General features: G+C 42.5%; 1 protein-coding gene across 2 annotated transcripts in view; it reads right to left on the bottom strand.

Moving 5' to 3' along the window:
• SELENOI (selenoprotein I) overlaps positions 1-16,624 on the bottom strand; it is a 49,743-nt gene that overhangs the window by 19,407 nt on the left and 13,712 nt on the right. For both annotated transcript variants that reach the window (NR_137633.2, NM_033505.4), the window contains exons 2-6: positions 12,109-12,177; positions 11,539-11,647; positions 9,259-9,333; positions 2,850-3,112; positions 1,331-1,439 (exon numbers count right to left, since the gene is read on the bottom strand). Coding sequence is in view for 1 of the 2 variants with exons in the window: in NM_033505.4 (NP_277040.1) it covers positions 1,331-1,439; positions 2,850-3,112; positions 9,259-9,333; positions 11,539-11,647; positions 12,109-12,177 (625 nt within the window). In the remaining variant the exon portion in view is untranslated. The remainder of the gene's footprint in view (positions 1-1,330; positions 1,440-2,849; positions 3,113-9,258; positions 9,334-11,538; positions 11,648-12,108; positions 12,178-16,624) is intronic.

Below are 16,624 nucleotides of genomic sequence, written 5' to 3'. Positions count from 1 at the left end.
CTTAACATTAAAAAATATGTCTCATATACCAGAGGATTCTGTCTTATCTAAATTTAACACTTAAATGTAACATGCAGGAAACCTGCCATGGGACAATCAAAAGGGTCACTACATAATTGGAGAAGAAAAATAGCATTTTTGAGGTAAAGAAAAAACAGTTTATACAGGTATCAAAAATGAACATTTGATAGATTTCAAGATAGTTCCTAAAATATGCACAGTCTAGAGCTACAGAAAAAAGCCCAAACCACTCCTTTTCTGAAAGCCAGTGCCTAATATACCATCTTCTAAACAGTTTCTAAGCCTTACCTAATTCCCATTCCATTACCAAGGTTCACCAAATGGGAAAGGGTTATTTTTTATTTATTCTTTTTTTTTTTTTTTTTTGAGACAGGGTCTCGCTCTGTCACCCAGGCTGGAGTGCAGTGGCACATGCGATCATAGCTCACTGGGCTCCGGTAATCCTCTGACCTCAGCCTCTCAGGTAGCTAGCATTACAGGTGCACGCACCACACCTGATTAACTTTAGTTTTTTCTAGAGACAGGGTTTCACTATGTTGCCCAAGCTGGTCTCAAACCCCTGGGCTCAAGAGATTCTCCCACTTTGGCCTCCCAAAGTGCTGGGATTACAGGCATGAGCCACTGTGTGTGGCCTATTTTTTAGATAAGAGAACAGAATACAGGACATAGCCCACACATATACCTTTTTACTTCTACAAAGGTTCTCAGTGCCACTCCTGGGGCCCCTAAATAACCATCTAGATTTCTCTTTACACTCGTTCCATACCACTAATACCCTCTCCACTCAGTCAATCATCCTACAGATATCCCCTTCAGCTAAAATCAAAACAGAAAGATTACCACCATAAAAAATCTTTAGCAATCAGTGGGTTAAGAAAGAGGATATCTGAGAGGAATAGAAGCTTAATTTTTTGAGTGGATACATTATAAAATAATCTCTACATTTCATCTGTCCTGTATTTCATACAAACTAGTAATTTTCAACTTTGAGATAAATATAAAACCTGTACCAAATGTGGACCCTCCAATACAGCCTAGGTTAATTTGAATAGTCACTTTATCAGGCTTATGTGATCTATTTTGGTATTTCCCTCTGATTAGAAATAGCTGATGCTGAACAAAAAAACCCCAAAAACAGGGAAACCTTATTTTTCTTAATGGTTAGGCTGAAATCCTACAAGGTTGTAGGGTTGTTCTGCTTCCTGGAGGTTTTGTGAGGCAAAGGGTGTTGTTGCTTGTTATAGTCAAATACCGGCTCTTTTGATAACAAAGTGATGGTTAAAACAGGCTTCAACATGGAGCTTCTTACCAATAATCATTGCAGTGAATAGGTCTCTATATAAGAAATTAAACAGGAAAGGTTCATACCAGGCCTCAACTCCCACAACTGCAGTCACTATGTAGACAAAAGAAATAGTCTGGAAGGAAAATGCAGACAAAAGCATACAGAAGCATTAACGCTAGAAAGATCAGGAGTCACCATGCTTTATGCAGCATTAAGTCAAGTCAAACAGTTTTAGTAAAGGCAAGAAGTATGCTTATATTTGGTATGTGGCAAGTCTTCTTACCTTTAAAAATACAATCTTTTGGCTGGACGTGGGGGCTCATGCCTGTAATCCCAGCACTCTGGGAGGCCAAGACGGGCAGATCACCTGAGGTGTCAGGAGTTCCAGACCAGCCTGACCAACATGGAGAAACCCCATCTCTACTAAAAATACAAAATTAGCCAGGCGTGGTGGCGCATGCCTGTAATCCCAGCTACTTGGGAGGCTGAGGCGGAAGAATCGCCTGAACCCAGGAGGCAGAGGTTGCGGTGAGCCGAGATCACACCATTGCACTCCAGCCTGGGCAACAATAGCGAAATTCTGTCTCAAAAAAAAAAAAAAAAAAATACAATCTTTTAGCCAACAATGCTATAAAATAACTAACTTGTAGACAATGCAAGCAACTGGCCATCATTTGGAGCACTTTAACAGCAACTCATAAATTGGTTAAGTTGTAAGATGATCCAAATTTACCCACCCAACCACTTCAACAAACACTCCAACTTCTGATTTCTTTACTGGAGACTTAGGTGCAAATGGGCAAAATGGCAACACAAAAAGCTGGGATTCAAGGCAGGGAGAGTTAATAGCAAGGCCATTAAAGTAAGAAAAAAGAAATCTCTCTACACACTGAAAAGGTGGCAATGAACACAAAAAGCCAACCATTCAATTATATGTGCATATCTTTCTTTCCAAAATCAAGAGTTCAAATGAACATGCAATAACATTAAGAAATGGTTAAATTTTTGGTGTAATACTGGCATTGTGATTGTTTTTTTAAAGGAAGCTTTTATCATTTAGAGATATATAGCGAAGTATTTATCATATAATATCAGAAATTTCCTTTAAAATAATTGAGAAGGGTCGAGCACGGTGGCTCATGCCTGTAATCCTAACACTTCGGGAAGCCAAGGCAGGAAGATCACTTGAGGTCAGGAGTTAGAGACCAGCCCAGCCAACATAGTGAAACCCTGTCTCTACTAAAAATATAAAAATTAGCCAGGCGTGATAGTGGGCACCTGTAATCTCAGCTACTCGGGAGGCCTCAGCCTCAGCAATGGGTACATTAGGGTCTATTCTCTCTACTTTTTCCTAAATATTCTCTCTACTTTACTATTCACTATACTATTCTATTTTTGAAATTTTCCATAAATAAAAATAAAAAATTTTTAAGTACATATCAATTCTAATCAAAAAAGCCTAAGAGCAATAAATAAGCAATGACAAAAGCTTTCCAAAAGTATCATGGTAATACTGAAAATTTAAGGTAGAACACATACTTACCACCTGGCTAATGTCATATCCCCATGGCAGGAAAAGAATCCCTGTGTTATACTTTTCCCAGTGGGACAGGATGAAAGAAAACAAAACTACCCATAGCAGGAGATAAAGAACAAAAACACTGACACCAGTTGATCCTCTTCCAAAGATGGAATAAACAGTCACAACAAAGTAAACACATGACCAACTATCCAGGCCATGATCAAAAAGCTCCCCTAAGGGAGTGCTAGAATTGGTTCTGCGAGCTTGCTTTCCGTCCACACCATCTGCAACAAAAACAAACCACAGGAAAAGTTCAACGTATGCACCAGGATGGAGAAAGTCTTCTTTAATAAACTGGAGGAAAAAACAAAACAAATCAGCTTATCACAGGAATGTTAAGTATAGCTATCAGCTGGTACTATAAAAATCTAATTATTTAATTCTACACTTCAAAGAGTTTAGGGCCAGGCACAGTGTCTCACACCTGTAATCCCCACACTTTGGGAGGCCAAGGCAGGAGGATCACTTGAGCCCACAAGTTTGAGACCAGCCTGGGCAACATAGCAAAACTCTGTCTTTACAAAAAATTTAAAAATTAGCCACGCATGGTGGTGCGCACCTGTAGTTCCTGCTACTCAGGAGGCTGAGGTGGGAAGATTGTTTGAGCCCAGGAGTTTGAACCTGCAGTGAGCTATGATCATGCCACTGCATTCCAGTCTGGGCAACAGAGCGAGATCCTGCCTCTAAAAAAAATTTTAAACAAAAAACAAAGATTTCAGAAATAAAATATATAATTCTTCAAAGTTTAATCTAAAAATCAAAATGTCATATTACACTGAATGGTGTCAATTTTAGATCTGAGAAAGTAGCATTTTAGTTGGAGTCTGAATACCTCCAAATCTATGGAACAATTGGGTTGTTTCACTAGCTACAAATTCTCAAGCTTCCAGCGAACATGCCATAGTAATTCATCACAACTTATCTCACCCCTCCTTGCTCTAGGATCCAAAAGTACTTCAGTCACAACATCTATTCTATCCTGTTTGAAATCATAATCACTTCTTTATAGACCTACTGCCTCCATAATTTTAAATGCTTTCAGAAAATGCACACAGTGGATATTCAGCAAATATAAGAATTGAATTTACTGAAACTAATGCACTATTCTTGGTGCTATAAGGATTGGAAGAATCTTAGAATAAACTGTGCCCTCAGAGAATTTACAATTGAGAAAGGAACAGGCCGGGTGTGGTGGCTCACGCCTATGATCCCAGCACTTTCGGAGGCCAAGGCAGGAGGATCCCCTGAGGTTAGGAGTCCAAGACCAGCCTGGCCAACATGGCCAAACCCTGTCTCTACTAAAAATACAAAAACTTAGCCGGGGATGGTGCACACCTGTAATCCCAGCTACTCGGGAGGCTGAGGCAGGAGAATCGCTTGAACCCAGGAGGCGGAGGTTGCAGTGAGCTGAGATCACACCATTGCACTCCAGCCTGGGCAACAAGAGCGAAACTCTGTCTCAAAAATTAAAAAGAGAAAGGAACAAAACATGATAATAAAGGTATGGTATATCACAAACCATAAAAGAGTACAGATAAGGGAAAGGTTCTCTTTAGGCTAAGATAATCTAGAATGGCTTTTCAGGCAAGTGAAATCTGAGTAGAGGACATAAAGAATGAGTTGGATTTCAGCTGATAAGAGATAAAGAAGTATGTCATTTCAAGAGGAGGGAATGCGCTCCCTCTCCCTCTCCCTCTCCCTCTCCCCATGGTCTCCCTCTCCCCATGGTTTCCCTCTCCCCATGGTCTCCCTCTCATGCCGAGCCGAAGCTGGACTATACTGCTGCCATCTCGGCTCACTGCAATCTCCCTGCCTGATTCTCCTGCCTCAGCCTGCGGAGTGCCTGCAATTGCAGGCGCACGCCGCCACGCCTGACTGGTTTTCGTATTTTTTTGGTGGAGACGGGGTTTCGCTGTGTTGGCCGGGCTGGTCTCCAGCTCCTAACCGCGAGTGATCCGCCAGCCTCGGCCTCCCGAGGTGCCGGGATTGCAGACGGAGTCTGGTTCACTCAGTGCTCAATGGCGCCCAGGCTGGAGTGCAGTGGCGTGATCTCGGCTCGCTACAACCTCCACCTCCCAGCCGCCTGCCTTGGCCTCCCAAAGTGCCAAGATTGCAGCCTCTGCCCGGCCGCCACCCCATCTGGGAAGTGAGGAGCGCCTCTTCCCGGCCGCCATCACATCTAGGAAGTGAGGAGCGTCTCTGCCCGGCTGCCCATCGTCTGGGATGTGGGGAGCGCCTCTGCCCCGCCGCCCCGTCTGGGATGTGAGGAGCGCCTCTGCCCGGCCGCCACCCCGTCTGGGAGGTGAGGAGCGTCTCTGCCCGGCCACCCCGTCTGAGAAGTGAGGAGCCTCTCCGCCTGGCAGCCACCCCGTCTGGGAAGTGAGGAGCATCTCCGCCCGGCAGCCACCCCGTCCGGGAGGGAGGTGGGAGGGGTCAGCCCCCCGCCAGCCCAGCCGCCCCGTCCGGGAGGGAGGTGGGGGGGTCAGCCCCTGGCCCGGCCAGCCGCCCCGTCCGGGAGGTGAGGGGCGCCTCTGCCCGGCCGCCCCTACTGGGAAGTGAGGAGCCCCTCTGCCTGGCCAGCCGCCCTGTCCGGGAGGGAGGTGGGGGGGTCAGCCCCCCGCCCGGCCAGCCGCCCCATCCGGGAGGGAGGTGGGGGGGTCAGCCCCCCGCCCGGCCAGCCGCCCCGTCCGGGAGGGAGGTGGGGGTGTCAGCCCCCCGCCTGGCCAGCCGCCCCGTCCGGGAGGGAGGTGGGGGTGTCAGCCCCCCGCCCGGCCAGCCGCCCCGTCCGGGAGGTGAGGAGCCCCTCTGCCCGGCCAGCCGCCCCGTCCGGGAGGGAGGTGGGGGGGTCAGCCCCCCGCCCGGCCAGCCGCCCCGTCCGGGAGGTGAGGGGCGCCTCTGCCCGGTGGCCCCTACTGGGACGTGAGGAGCCCCTCTGCCCGGCCAGCCGCCCCGTCTGGGAGGGAGGTGGGGGGGTCAGCCCCCGCCCAGCCAGCCGCCCCGTCCGGGAGGTGAGGGGCGCCTCTGCCCGGTGGCCCCTACTGGGACGTGAGGAGCCCCTCTGCCCGGCCAGCCGCCCCGTCTGGGAGGGAGGTGGGGGGGTCAGCCCCCCGCCCAGCCAGCCGCCCCGTCCGGGAGGTGAGGGGTGCCTCTGCCCAGCCGCCCCTACTGGGAAGTGAGGAGCCCCTCTGCCCGGCCACCACCCCGTCTGGGAGGTGTGCCCAACAGCTCATTGAGAACGGGCCAGGATGACAATGGCGGCTTTGTGGAATAGAAAGGGGGGAAAGGTGGGGAAAAGATTGAGAAATCGGATGGTTGCCGTGTCTGTGTAGAAAGAGGTAGACATGGGAGACTTTTCATTTTGTTCTGTACTTAGAAAAATTCTTCTGCCTTGGGATCCTGTTGATCTGTGACCTTACCCCCAACCCTGTGCTCTCTGAAACATGTGCTGTGTCCACTCAGAGTTAAATGGATTAAGGGCGGTGCAAGATGTGCTTTGTTAAACAGATGCTTGAAGGCAGCATGCTCATTAAGAGTCATCACCACTCCCTAATCTCAAGTACCCAGGGACACAAACGCTGCGGAAGGCCACAGGGTCCTCTGCCTAGGAAAACCAGAGACCTTTGTTCACTTGTTTATCTGCTGACCTTCCCTCCACTATTGTTCTATGACCCTGCCAAATCCCCCTCTGTGAGAAACACCCAAGAATGATCAATAAAAAAAAGAGGAGGGAATGCTATCAGCAAAACACACCAGGGTGGAAAAGCACAATGCATGTTCAGAAAATGCCAAGAACCTTAGTTTGACTAGAGACTAGCATGTTAAGAGTGAAGTATATAAAAAGGTCAAAAAGGAGGTTTGAGCCAGTTTAAAAGTTGTAGGGAATATGGGGAGTTACTAAAGGTATCTGAATAGAGAAATCACAAGAATGAAAGCAATGTTTCAGGAAGAGGCACCTGACGGTATGAATGACAGGCTGGAGAGAGGGACACTAATTAGTAGGCCTGAGATGAAATGCAGTAGGAATGAGAAACTGGTGGTAGGTGAGATGGAGGAAATAAAAATGATAAAATGCCGCAAAAGATGAGGGATAAGGCCTAAGGACAAGAAGAGAATCTCCAGTTTCTATTCTGGGTAACGAAGATAGTGGTAGTGTTAATAGAAAAAAAGAAGTCAGAATAAGCAGCAAGAGTGACAGACAAGATGCAGAGTACAATTTTAGATACTGAAATTGAAATGTTAGTGAGATATCCACATGGTAATGTCAAGGAACTCAATCCAAGGGTACTTATTAGGAACTCAGAACACAGATCAGGGCTAGATATAAACATGAGAATCTTAACTAAGACTGTAGAGTGAGAATCACCATTACCAAGGGAATGAGGAGAAAGCCAGAGTTTAGGATAAAGCACAGTAGAATACCTTCATTTTACAGGCAGAAACAGAAGAGCCTGTTAGAGACAGCCTGTCTCACTGAACTGTACAATTTTTCCCCCAAAAGAAACAGTTTTGTTAACTAGTGCATTAGAATTAGGCTAACTGAAAAAATTCAGATTAAGGAATTAACTCCTATAATTACGGTTAATCTTGCTCACCAAAGTACATTCCCCAGTGCCTAGATCAGTCTGTGGCATAATATATTGTTGAAGACTATATGAAAAGATGAATCCCAAACTCCCTATCCAAATACTACAGATTTCTGTTATACAGGGTTGGGAAAGTTTTTGCCCTGAAGTAGCTAAAATATTCCCAGAAAGTCTTTTCTCATTATTTACTGGCTTAACAATTTCCCATTTTCAATGTAACTCCTATACAGTTATTACAATACTAAATTCATAACTATGTATTAATTAGGTTTTATACATTTTCTCACTACACCCATTCCATCTCCACAAGTCTGAGGTCCAGATATGCTTTAGAATTTTTTTTTCTTAAAAAGGTAATTCAGGGCATATATCATATATTATCAGAGACTCCCCAGTAGGACATAGAGCAGCATCCTGTGATCAAACATCTTAGTATTTCTGCAGCAAAATGTCATGAATAGTCACACTAGGTAGAATAAAGATTATAAACTGCTTCATGTTCGTTCAAGACTGGTTTGCAACAAATAGTTCATGTCAGACCAGGGTTTTTGCCAGAAAACTGTGGGCCTAGAACAAGTAGATGGTACATCAAAAGGATCTTACGGCGTGTTGTCAAAAGTCAGAGCTCACAGCCACTCTCAACTTTTCCCTATTCCTCTCAGCAGTCCTTGGCAACCAAATCCTTCAGCAGCACTTAAAGACCTGCTCATCTTTAATAACAAATGTGCAAAAACCTCTGCCTAAATATGTAGCTTTTAACTAAGCTTTCCCTTAATTCTTCTAGACGTCACTGATTTCTTCCTTCTCCAAACTCTTGCAGCTCTGGTCAGCATGACATCTACCATATCAGCATTTAATCATGTAGCAGGTTATGCTGGTTTTATGAGAACAAGTCACTTTTATCTGAAGAGATCTAAGCAACTTGAAGTCAGGGTCTGCTATTTTACATGTATTTAAAAACTATGTACCGAGTGTCTACGATACTGGGGATACAGTAGTGAACAACGCAGTACTCACTTTCACAAAACTTAACGTTTTAGTTAGAAAAGAGAGATAACAAACAAGCAGGCAAGTAAATAGATAACATGTTACATGGTTTTAAGTGCTATGGAGAAAAATAAAGCAGGGAAGGAGAGAAGAATGCAGGACAAGCCATGTGGATAATCCTAATGAAAAGCATTCTTGGCAGGACAGACAGCATGGTCTAGCACAGTAGGCCTCCCTGCCCACTCCCTGACCGCTCCCTGTACCAAAAAAGAATTGATCACTTCCTTATTTGTTTTCCCACTGTGTTCTATCATACTATTTTTTAATTATTACATATGACAGTATTGCTTCCCAAACTTAAGAAAAATGATGTCTTATTCCAGAGGTTGGTAAATATTTTTTAAAGGCCGCATGATAAATATTTTAGGCTTTGCAGGCCATACAGTCTTTGTTGCAACTATTCAACTGTGTCTTTATAGCAGGAAAACAGCCATAGACAATATATAAAGGAATAAGCATAGATGTGTGCCAGTAAAACTCTACTAACAAAAATAGGCTACACACCAAATTTGGCCCACAAGTAGTAGTTTACCAACTCTTATCTTATTCTGTGAATCCCTGGCAATGAATGACAAAATTTTTTGTAAAGAAACTCAAAAACATATTTATCAATTTGAACAGGATACTAATAAACTCTAGTTAAAATGAATTAAGCACAGGAGAAAATGTTATTTTAATACGTGGCTATCCTTGCTGATTCACCAGTCACTGACTATAGTAAGTATTTACCAATTCCTTACCTAGAGTGTAGGCTACGAAGTTGAGGATGCCCACTACAATCCAAACCCAGTCAGGCACGTGCTTGTGACCTGGTGCTGAAAAGGAAAGCAACTAAGATTTTAATACAGTTTAAGTACAGTAGTTCTTACCATAGCATATACTGACAGTGAGAAGTGTCGCTATTTGTTCATTAGAAGTTAAAGTACTTTACAATATATTTTGAATCCAGAATTACGTAAATAATACCAGGAAACTGATAAAACCAAAAAAGCAACATCCCAGCCTGTCACAAACAGTAAGCAGTTATTTTGAGCTTTTATCGTAACTCAAGACTGAGTGTTCACCTTTACTTGAAAATAAATAATTTTCATGCGCCTACAATGAAAAATAATATATTTTTGGAATTTAGAAATTAATTGCATTTAATCTAATTCTTGTTTATGACTGTATTACAAACTTGTATTGAGCCTTCACCTTATCCTTTCCTATACTATTAATTAGCTAAACAAAAGACCTTTTGATTTGGGTATAGATAGATCACCTCAACTGAATGATTTGGGCATCAGAATCATTCTGAAATATCTAGAGCTCACTTTTTCCCCTAAGACAAAACAACTGAGAATCAGAAAGTCTAGGGTCTAGTCCTGGCTTTGTAATCAACCAGCAGTGTAACCTTGAATGTATCATTTAATCTCTCCCATCTTGTATTTTCCAAATATTTTGGGAACAGATGGTTTATCTGGTCCTTGAACTTATATGATTTGGGGAGATATATATAACATTTACATATGTTTGATGCTGTTAATAGCTAAGTAAATAATCTTATTTAGAGTTGTCAAAGAAAATAGTATTTCTAGTTACAAAGATACATTCTTTAGGGTGTCCTGAGGATTAAAATACAAAAATAAATAAATAAATAAATAAATTTTTAAAAACCCACAATACCCAAACAATGCTTAACAAAATTTAATCTTACTCTTTATTCATGTGTACTTTATGATCTTCTCATGCTTCAGAGTTGGCATTTCCAACTTCAATTACCATTTTATTACATGTACAGAAGCTATGGCTAAAAGTTTCAGTAAAGTTCAGCATATGTATACTTTCAATATTTGGAATTTCTATAGTATCAAAAGTCTTGGCCAGGTGCAGTGGCTCACACCTGTAATCCCAGCACTTTGGGAGGCCAAGGCGGGTGGATCATTTGAGGTCAGGAGTTTGAGACCAGCCTGGCCAACATGGTGAAACCCTGCTCTACTACAAATACAAAAATTAGCTGGGCATGGAAGTACACGCCTGTAGTCCCAGCTACTCAGGACGCTGAGGCAGGAGAATCGCTTGAACCTGGGAGGCAGAGGTTTCAGTGAGCCAAGATGGCATCATTGTACTCCAGCCTGGGCGACAGAGTGACACTCCGTCTCAAAAAAAAAAAAAAAAAAAAAAAAGTCTTAAGTGTTTGAAACTCCAAATTTTTCTACTAAAACAATGTTGTCAGTGGTACTCAGTTTCTCCAGGTCAGTCCAGAAAAGTCTGCTGAACTCATACACAGATGAATTATAACACTAACACTCCTGACTACATCATTTCTAAGTATTACTGTTGGAAAATTCTCTTAGAATGCAAAAAATGCCCATCTATCTCCAACTTTCTATTCCTCTCAATGCAATCAACTGACTGAACAATAAAAACAAAACTTGTCTCCAACTATTCCCTCGTCATCCCAATTCTTTGGCCTGGGGCAGAAGCTGGGTGTGAAACAGAGTGAAGATAAAATGAGTGAGAGAGAAGATGTTGGAGCAGAGGGCAGGAGCAGGCTGACCACTGGCTCCAAAAGTGCCTCCTTCCTCTCTTCCTCAATAAGGGTCCAGACTTAGCAATAAATACTTAAGGTCTAAGTATCATTTTCAGAGGAAACTAGGAGTCATTCAAGTCAAGTAGGGATGCTGGGAAGAAGGAAAGACAATCACATGTCCTTCAGAAGAAAGGGGATTTTTCTTTCATGACTAGAAAAGGAGAAGGGATATTCCTAGAGCTGACAGGTAAACTGAGCCCTGTTTGTATTCATTTTTAGGCAAAGTTTTGAGTCTTAATTTTCCATCTTCATGTAAACCCAATTATTCTTTATCTGCCAAAACCTCATTGCTTTTTAGACAACATATCTAATTCAATAGGCAAGGTGATGCCATTATAATATTCAAAATTTTTTAGAAATATGAACATTTTAACAAAACCAGAAAATAAGCATCCACATTTCATTTTTTTCTACTCAGTTAAATTTTATAATAAAGTAATATTCTTACCTGAGGCATAAAAGTCAGGATCAAAGTATGCCATTAGCAGAAAATTGAATACGACCAGCAGAAAGCCAGAAAAAGTTATCAGATTGGGCGCCAGCCAAGTAGGAAATACCTATTTTTGCAAAATAATTATAAAATAATTAAAGTAGAGGAATCTCTGTCCAATGTATACTACAACATGCAAACTGAAGTCATAATAAAAGCTATACATTTGAAAGATCATATGGAGAAGTTATAGACATTAACACGTAAACGATAATCTCCATCAGCATTCTTTCTTCCATCCTCTATTTTTTAACTAACTCTGTAATCAGCAAACTTCTATAATCATAACATTAAGTCTATTTTAGAAAAATTTTAAAAGGGATTTTACAAAAGTGACAAATCCCAGGGTATAAACTTCAACAGTAAGATAAATCAAAAGGTATGTGATTTGGGGTATTGTGATTGGGGAAGGGTGGTTTCTCTAAATATCTTATGAAACTGAGAGTTGCATTTATAATACTCCATAAAATAGGTTAAAATCTTTAAAACTTACTAAAACAAAAAGTACATACATATTAATTATCTTACCTTTACTATAGTGTTCCAGAATGGATGCATGACATACAGAGAAAGTGGATTGGTATCCACAGCACTGTACTGTTAAGAAATGAAAGAAAATATTCAGAGTAAATCCTTGCCTACTAGTAGACAGAATAACATTTCTTAGGTGAAAATAATAGTAAAGCCAGGCGCAGTGGCGCATGCATATAACCCAGCTACTCAAAAGGCTGAGGCCTGAGGATCACTTGAGCCCAGGAATTTGAGACCAGCCTGGGCAACATAGTGAGATCCCATCTCCAAAAAAAAAAAAAAAAAAAAAGGGGGAGAAAGAAAGTAATAGTACAAAAATACTACAGGCCAGGCATGGTGGCTCACACCTATAATCCTAGCACTTCGGGAAGGTCAAGGCAGGCAGATTACTTGAGGTCAGGAGTTCAAGATCAGCCTGGCCAACGTGGTGAAACCCTGTCTCTACTAAAAATACAAAAATTTGCTGGGCCATGGTGGCACACGCCTGTAATCCCAGCTACTTGGGAGGCTGAGGCAAAGGTTGCAGTGAGCCAAGCCTGTGCCACTGCACTCCAGCCTGGGCGACAAAGCAAGACTGAGTCTCAAAAATAATAATAATAATAATACAAAAATAACCTGGAGAATACACCTATTTTTATGATGTCCTAATCTGAGTAGCAAAACTGGAATAGCAACATAAATGAGGCAAAGACTATCAAGCAGTCAGATATTATCATAGGGGAAGTCTAAAGATCAACCCAAATCGCAGAGTTAATCATACAGTGGTTGTTTCATTGGCACATACAACCAGAGTCCAAATCGCCAAGATAATCACTGACTCATCCTTCACTCTCAATCAGCTTTTACATTATGGTGTTTCAGTAGAGAAATTTTTATTGCTTACATGTCCTCACTTATTATGCAGGATCAGCAAAATGCACACTGCATGCATTCACACACTAACCACACACCTTCTCAACCTCCTTCATCCCTCTCAACTTAGCGGAATCTGTGTTTCCTTTTGATACTATTACGATACACTTACTACCTGTGAGACCTTGGGCAAGTTACTTAATCTCTCTGCCTTAGTTTCTTCACCTGTAAAATGAAGATGATAGTCCTTACCTCAAGGGATTGTCATAAGGATTAGATATGTGAAGTGCTCAGAACTGACCTACAGTAAGTACTACGTAAGTATTAGCTATTATAATTACATATGTTTTAAGTACCAAAGGAATGACAGATCCCTGTATAGCAGGATACTGAATTGCATAAACACGCACAGGAAGACAAAATAGGTTAGGGTCATACGGTAAGGGAGCTTATTCCCCAGTTACTGAGCTATTTAATAAGAATGTAAAGGAAATTTTAAAAGACATACATAAACATGTAAAACTTTAAGGGTCATGTTGATAACTTATTCACTCCACACACACACACACTGCTAGGTATGGGGAAGAAGAGATACAAAACTGGTAACAGACAAGTCTTGAACTAGGTAATATTAGCCTAGTTCAAACCCTCCTTGAGGGTTCACAGTATTACCTGGGTGATTACCTAATTCATCCATCTGAAATTTACATATTATACTAGTCACACGCTTGAAAAAGTTTTTCTTTTTTTTTTCTTTTTTTTGAGACAGAGTCGCTCTGTCACCCAGGCGGGAATGCAGTGGCGCGATCTCAGCTCACTGCAACCTCCGCCTCCTGAGTTCAACCAATTCTCCTGCCTCAGCCTCCCGAGTAGCTGGGATTAGAGGTGTGCACCACCTGGCTAGTTTTTGTATTTTTAGTAGAGACGGGGTTTCACCATGTTGGCCAGGCTGGTCTTGAACTCCTGATCTCAGGTGACCCACCTGCCTCGGCCTCCCAAAGTGCTGGGATTACAGGCGTGAGCCACCAGACCTGGCCACCTTTGCTTATATTTTCTATGTGTGTTCAGTATGTATACAAAATAAGTAGTAATCATTTGAGTATCTGATTTTTAAAAATCATAATTAAAGATCAAAATTTCTTTCTGAATAAGTTTTATGAATATGGAAGAAATACATCAGTGTTTCAAGACTTAAAAGTGTGATGGATCACGAGGTCAGGAGATCGAGACCATCCTGGCTAACACGGTGAAACCCCGTCTCTACTAAAAATACAAAAAATTAGCCGGGCACGGTGGCAGGTGCCTGTACTCCTAGCTACTCGGGAGGCTGAGGTAGGAGAATGGCGTGAACCCGGGAGGTGGAGCTTACTCCAGCCTGGGCGACAGAGCAAGACTCTGCTAAAAGAGTCAACTCTTTTAGCAAAGAGTCAACCAATAAGCCAAATGTTTATTCAACAGACTCCATGTCTGAGGTTCTTCCATTTCTCCAACCCATCCTAACTAAAATGAAATAAATTGGACAAAAGATCTGAGACAGTAGTAAGAAATGATGATGGGCTGGCTAGGTGCGTGGCTCACGCCTATAATTCCAGCACTTTGGGAGGCCGAGGCGGGCGGATCATTTGAGGTCATGAGTTCGAGACCAGCCTGGCTGACACGGTGAAACTCCGTGTCTACTAAAAATACAAAAACAAATTAGTCGGGTGTGGTGGCATACGCCTGTAATCCCAGGTACTTGGGAGGCTGAGGCAGGAGAATCGTTTGAACCAAGGGGGCACAGGCTGCAGTGAGCCAAGATTGTGCCACTGCGCTCCAGCCTAGACTACAGAGTGAGACTCCATCTCAAAAAAAAAAAAAAGAAATGATGATGGACAATGTGGTTTGCTTCTAATGGCCAGAGGTAGAAACTCTAAAGCTGCATCCAGCCTCTCAGCAGGAGCCCACTTATATTAGTACAGCAGTCACCTACTTAACCAAGGTTTCATTTTAACCATAGCCAACCAGGGTCGGAAAATAGGTAAGTACAGTACACACAGACGTTTTGAGAGAGAGAGACCAAATTCACATAAATGTAATAACAGTACATTGTTATAGTTGTTTTATTCTTAGTTGTTGTTGTTAATCACTCACTGTGCCTAAACTTTATCACAGGTGTGTATGTATAGGAAAAAATAGTATATACAGTCGCCCCTCGGTATCTTTGGGGAATTGGCCCCAGGACTCTCTGTGGATGTTCAACTCCCTTATATAAAATGGCACAGTATTTGTCTATAACCTACACACATCCTCCCATATACTTTTTGAGACGGAGTCTCACTCTGTCTCCCAGGCTGGAGTGCAGTGGCGCGATCTTGGCTCACTGCAAGCTCCGCCTCCCAGGTTCATGCCATTCTCCTGCTTCAGCCTCCTGAGTAGCTAGGACTATAGGCGCCCACCACCACGCCCAGCTAATTTTTTGTATTTTTAGTAGAGACGGAGTTTCACCGTGTTAGCCAGGATGGTCTCGATCTCCTGACCTCGTGACCCACCCACCTTGGCCTCCCAAAGTGCTGGGATTACAGGCGTAAGCCACCGTGCCGGCCAGGATGGTCTACAGTTTACAAAGCCTTTCCATAATAGATATCACTCCATTGGAGCCTGTGCAGAATGAAAGAGTTCTGAACTGACAGGACTGCCTGAATTTAAGTCTTCAGACCTGAGGACCAGGAACCAATATGAACCCCTACAGGCTGCCAATGACAAGATAGGAGGGCCCTACACTCCTTTACTTCACAAAAGTCTGCACCCAGAACCACGAAATATAGCCAGCGGGGCAAATAAAATGAAAAATCACTCCTTTCAAGTCCACCATCCATCTTAAAGCACAGAAGTTGTAAGTTCAGATCAGAAGAAAACCGTTTAAGATATCACATGAATACCTAATATAGTGCACAAAGTAACTGTGCAATGTTCTTAATTCAACTGTTTGCTCATTTTCATTCAGCAGCTTTCCATAATTTAACTTTAATCTAAAAGAACGTCTTTAAGGAATGGTATTTTGACTTGAAAAGCTCCGCTTTTAAAATTCTGAAGCTTTAACATGAAATTTCGACTTCAGGAGATCAGAAGTTTGACACAAGGAGGCCAGTTTACCTAATTGGATTTCAATTATTTGACATTCAATAACAGCTGATGAGTTCAAACAGGAAGAAAGATTAATAGATTATAGAAGGCAGCAAAACTCTGTGCTCTCGCCTTACACACCTGAGTATTTTTCAAGGTCACATACCACTCACAATAAACAAACTCTAAACTGTCTTAAGAACCCACAAGAAGAAGAATGACTTGAACCTTCCATGTTCATGAAAAAGATAAAATGCAGACTTTTAAAGGTGCTAGACTAGATTTGGGTTTGTTAATGTTTGTTAAAGGTATTATTTTCCACTGGAGTGACATTTTGGCAAACACCAGGAAACCTGAACCAGGTAGATAATCCAGTTAAGACCTGGCATGACTTGCTTGGCTCTACAATCTATCAGGCTAGGGTAAGCTAGAGCCCTCAAAACTGCTTGAGGACCACAGGCTGGGTTTGATAGACTCGTTCCATGAAAAACCTCAGAGCTCAGAGATGCCTAACCTTATACACCATTGTATATCTGACCCTCATTTAGGAGAAGACGTA

Source organism: Homo sapiens, chromosome 2 (assembly GCF_000001405.40).
Source record: "Homo sapiens chromosome 2, GRCh38.p14 Primary Assembly".
In the NCBI taxonomy this organism is placed as follows: Eukaryota; Metazoa; Chordata; class Mammalia; order Primates; family Hominidae; genus Homo; species Homo sapiens.
This window is presented reverse-complemented; position numbering and strand designations above follow the sequence as displayed.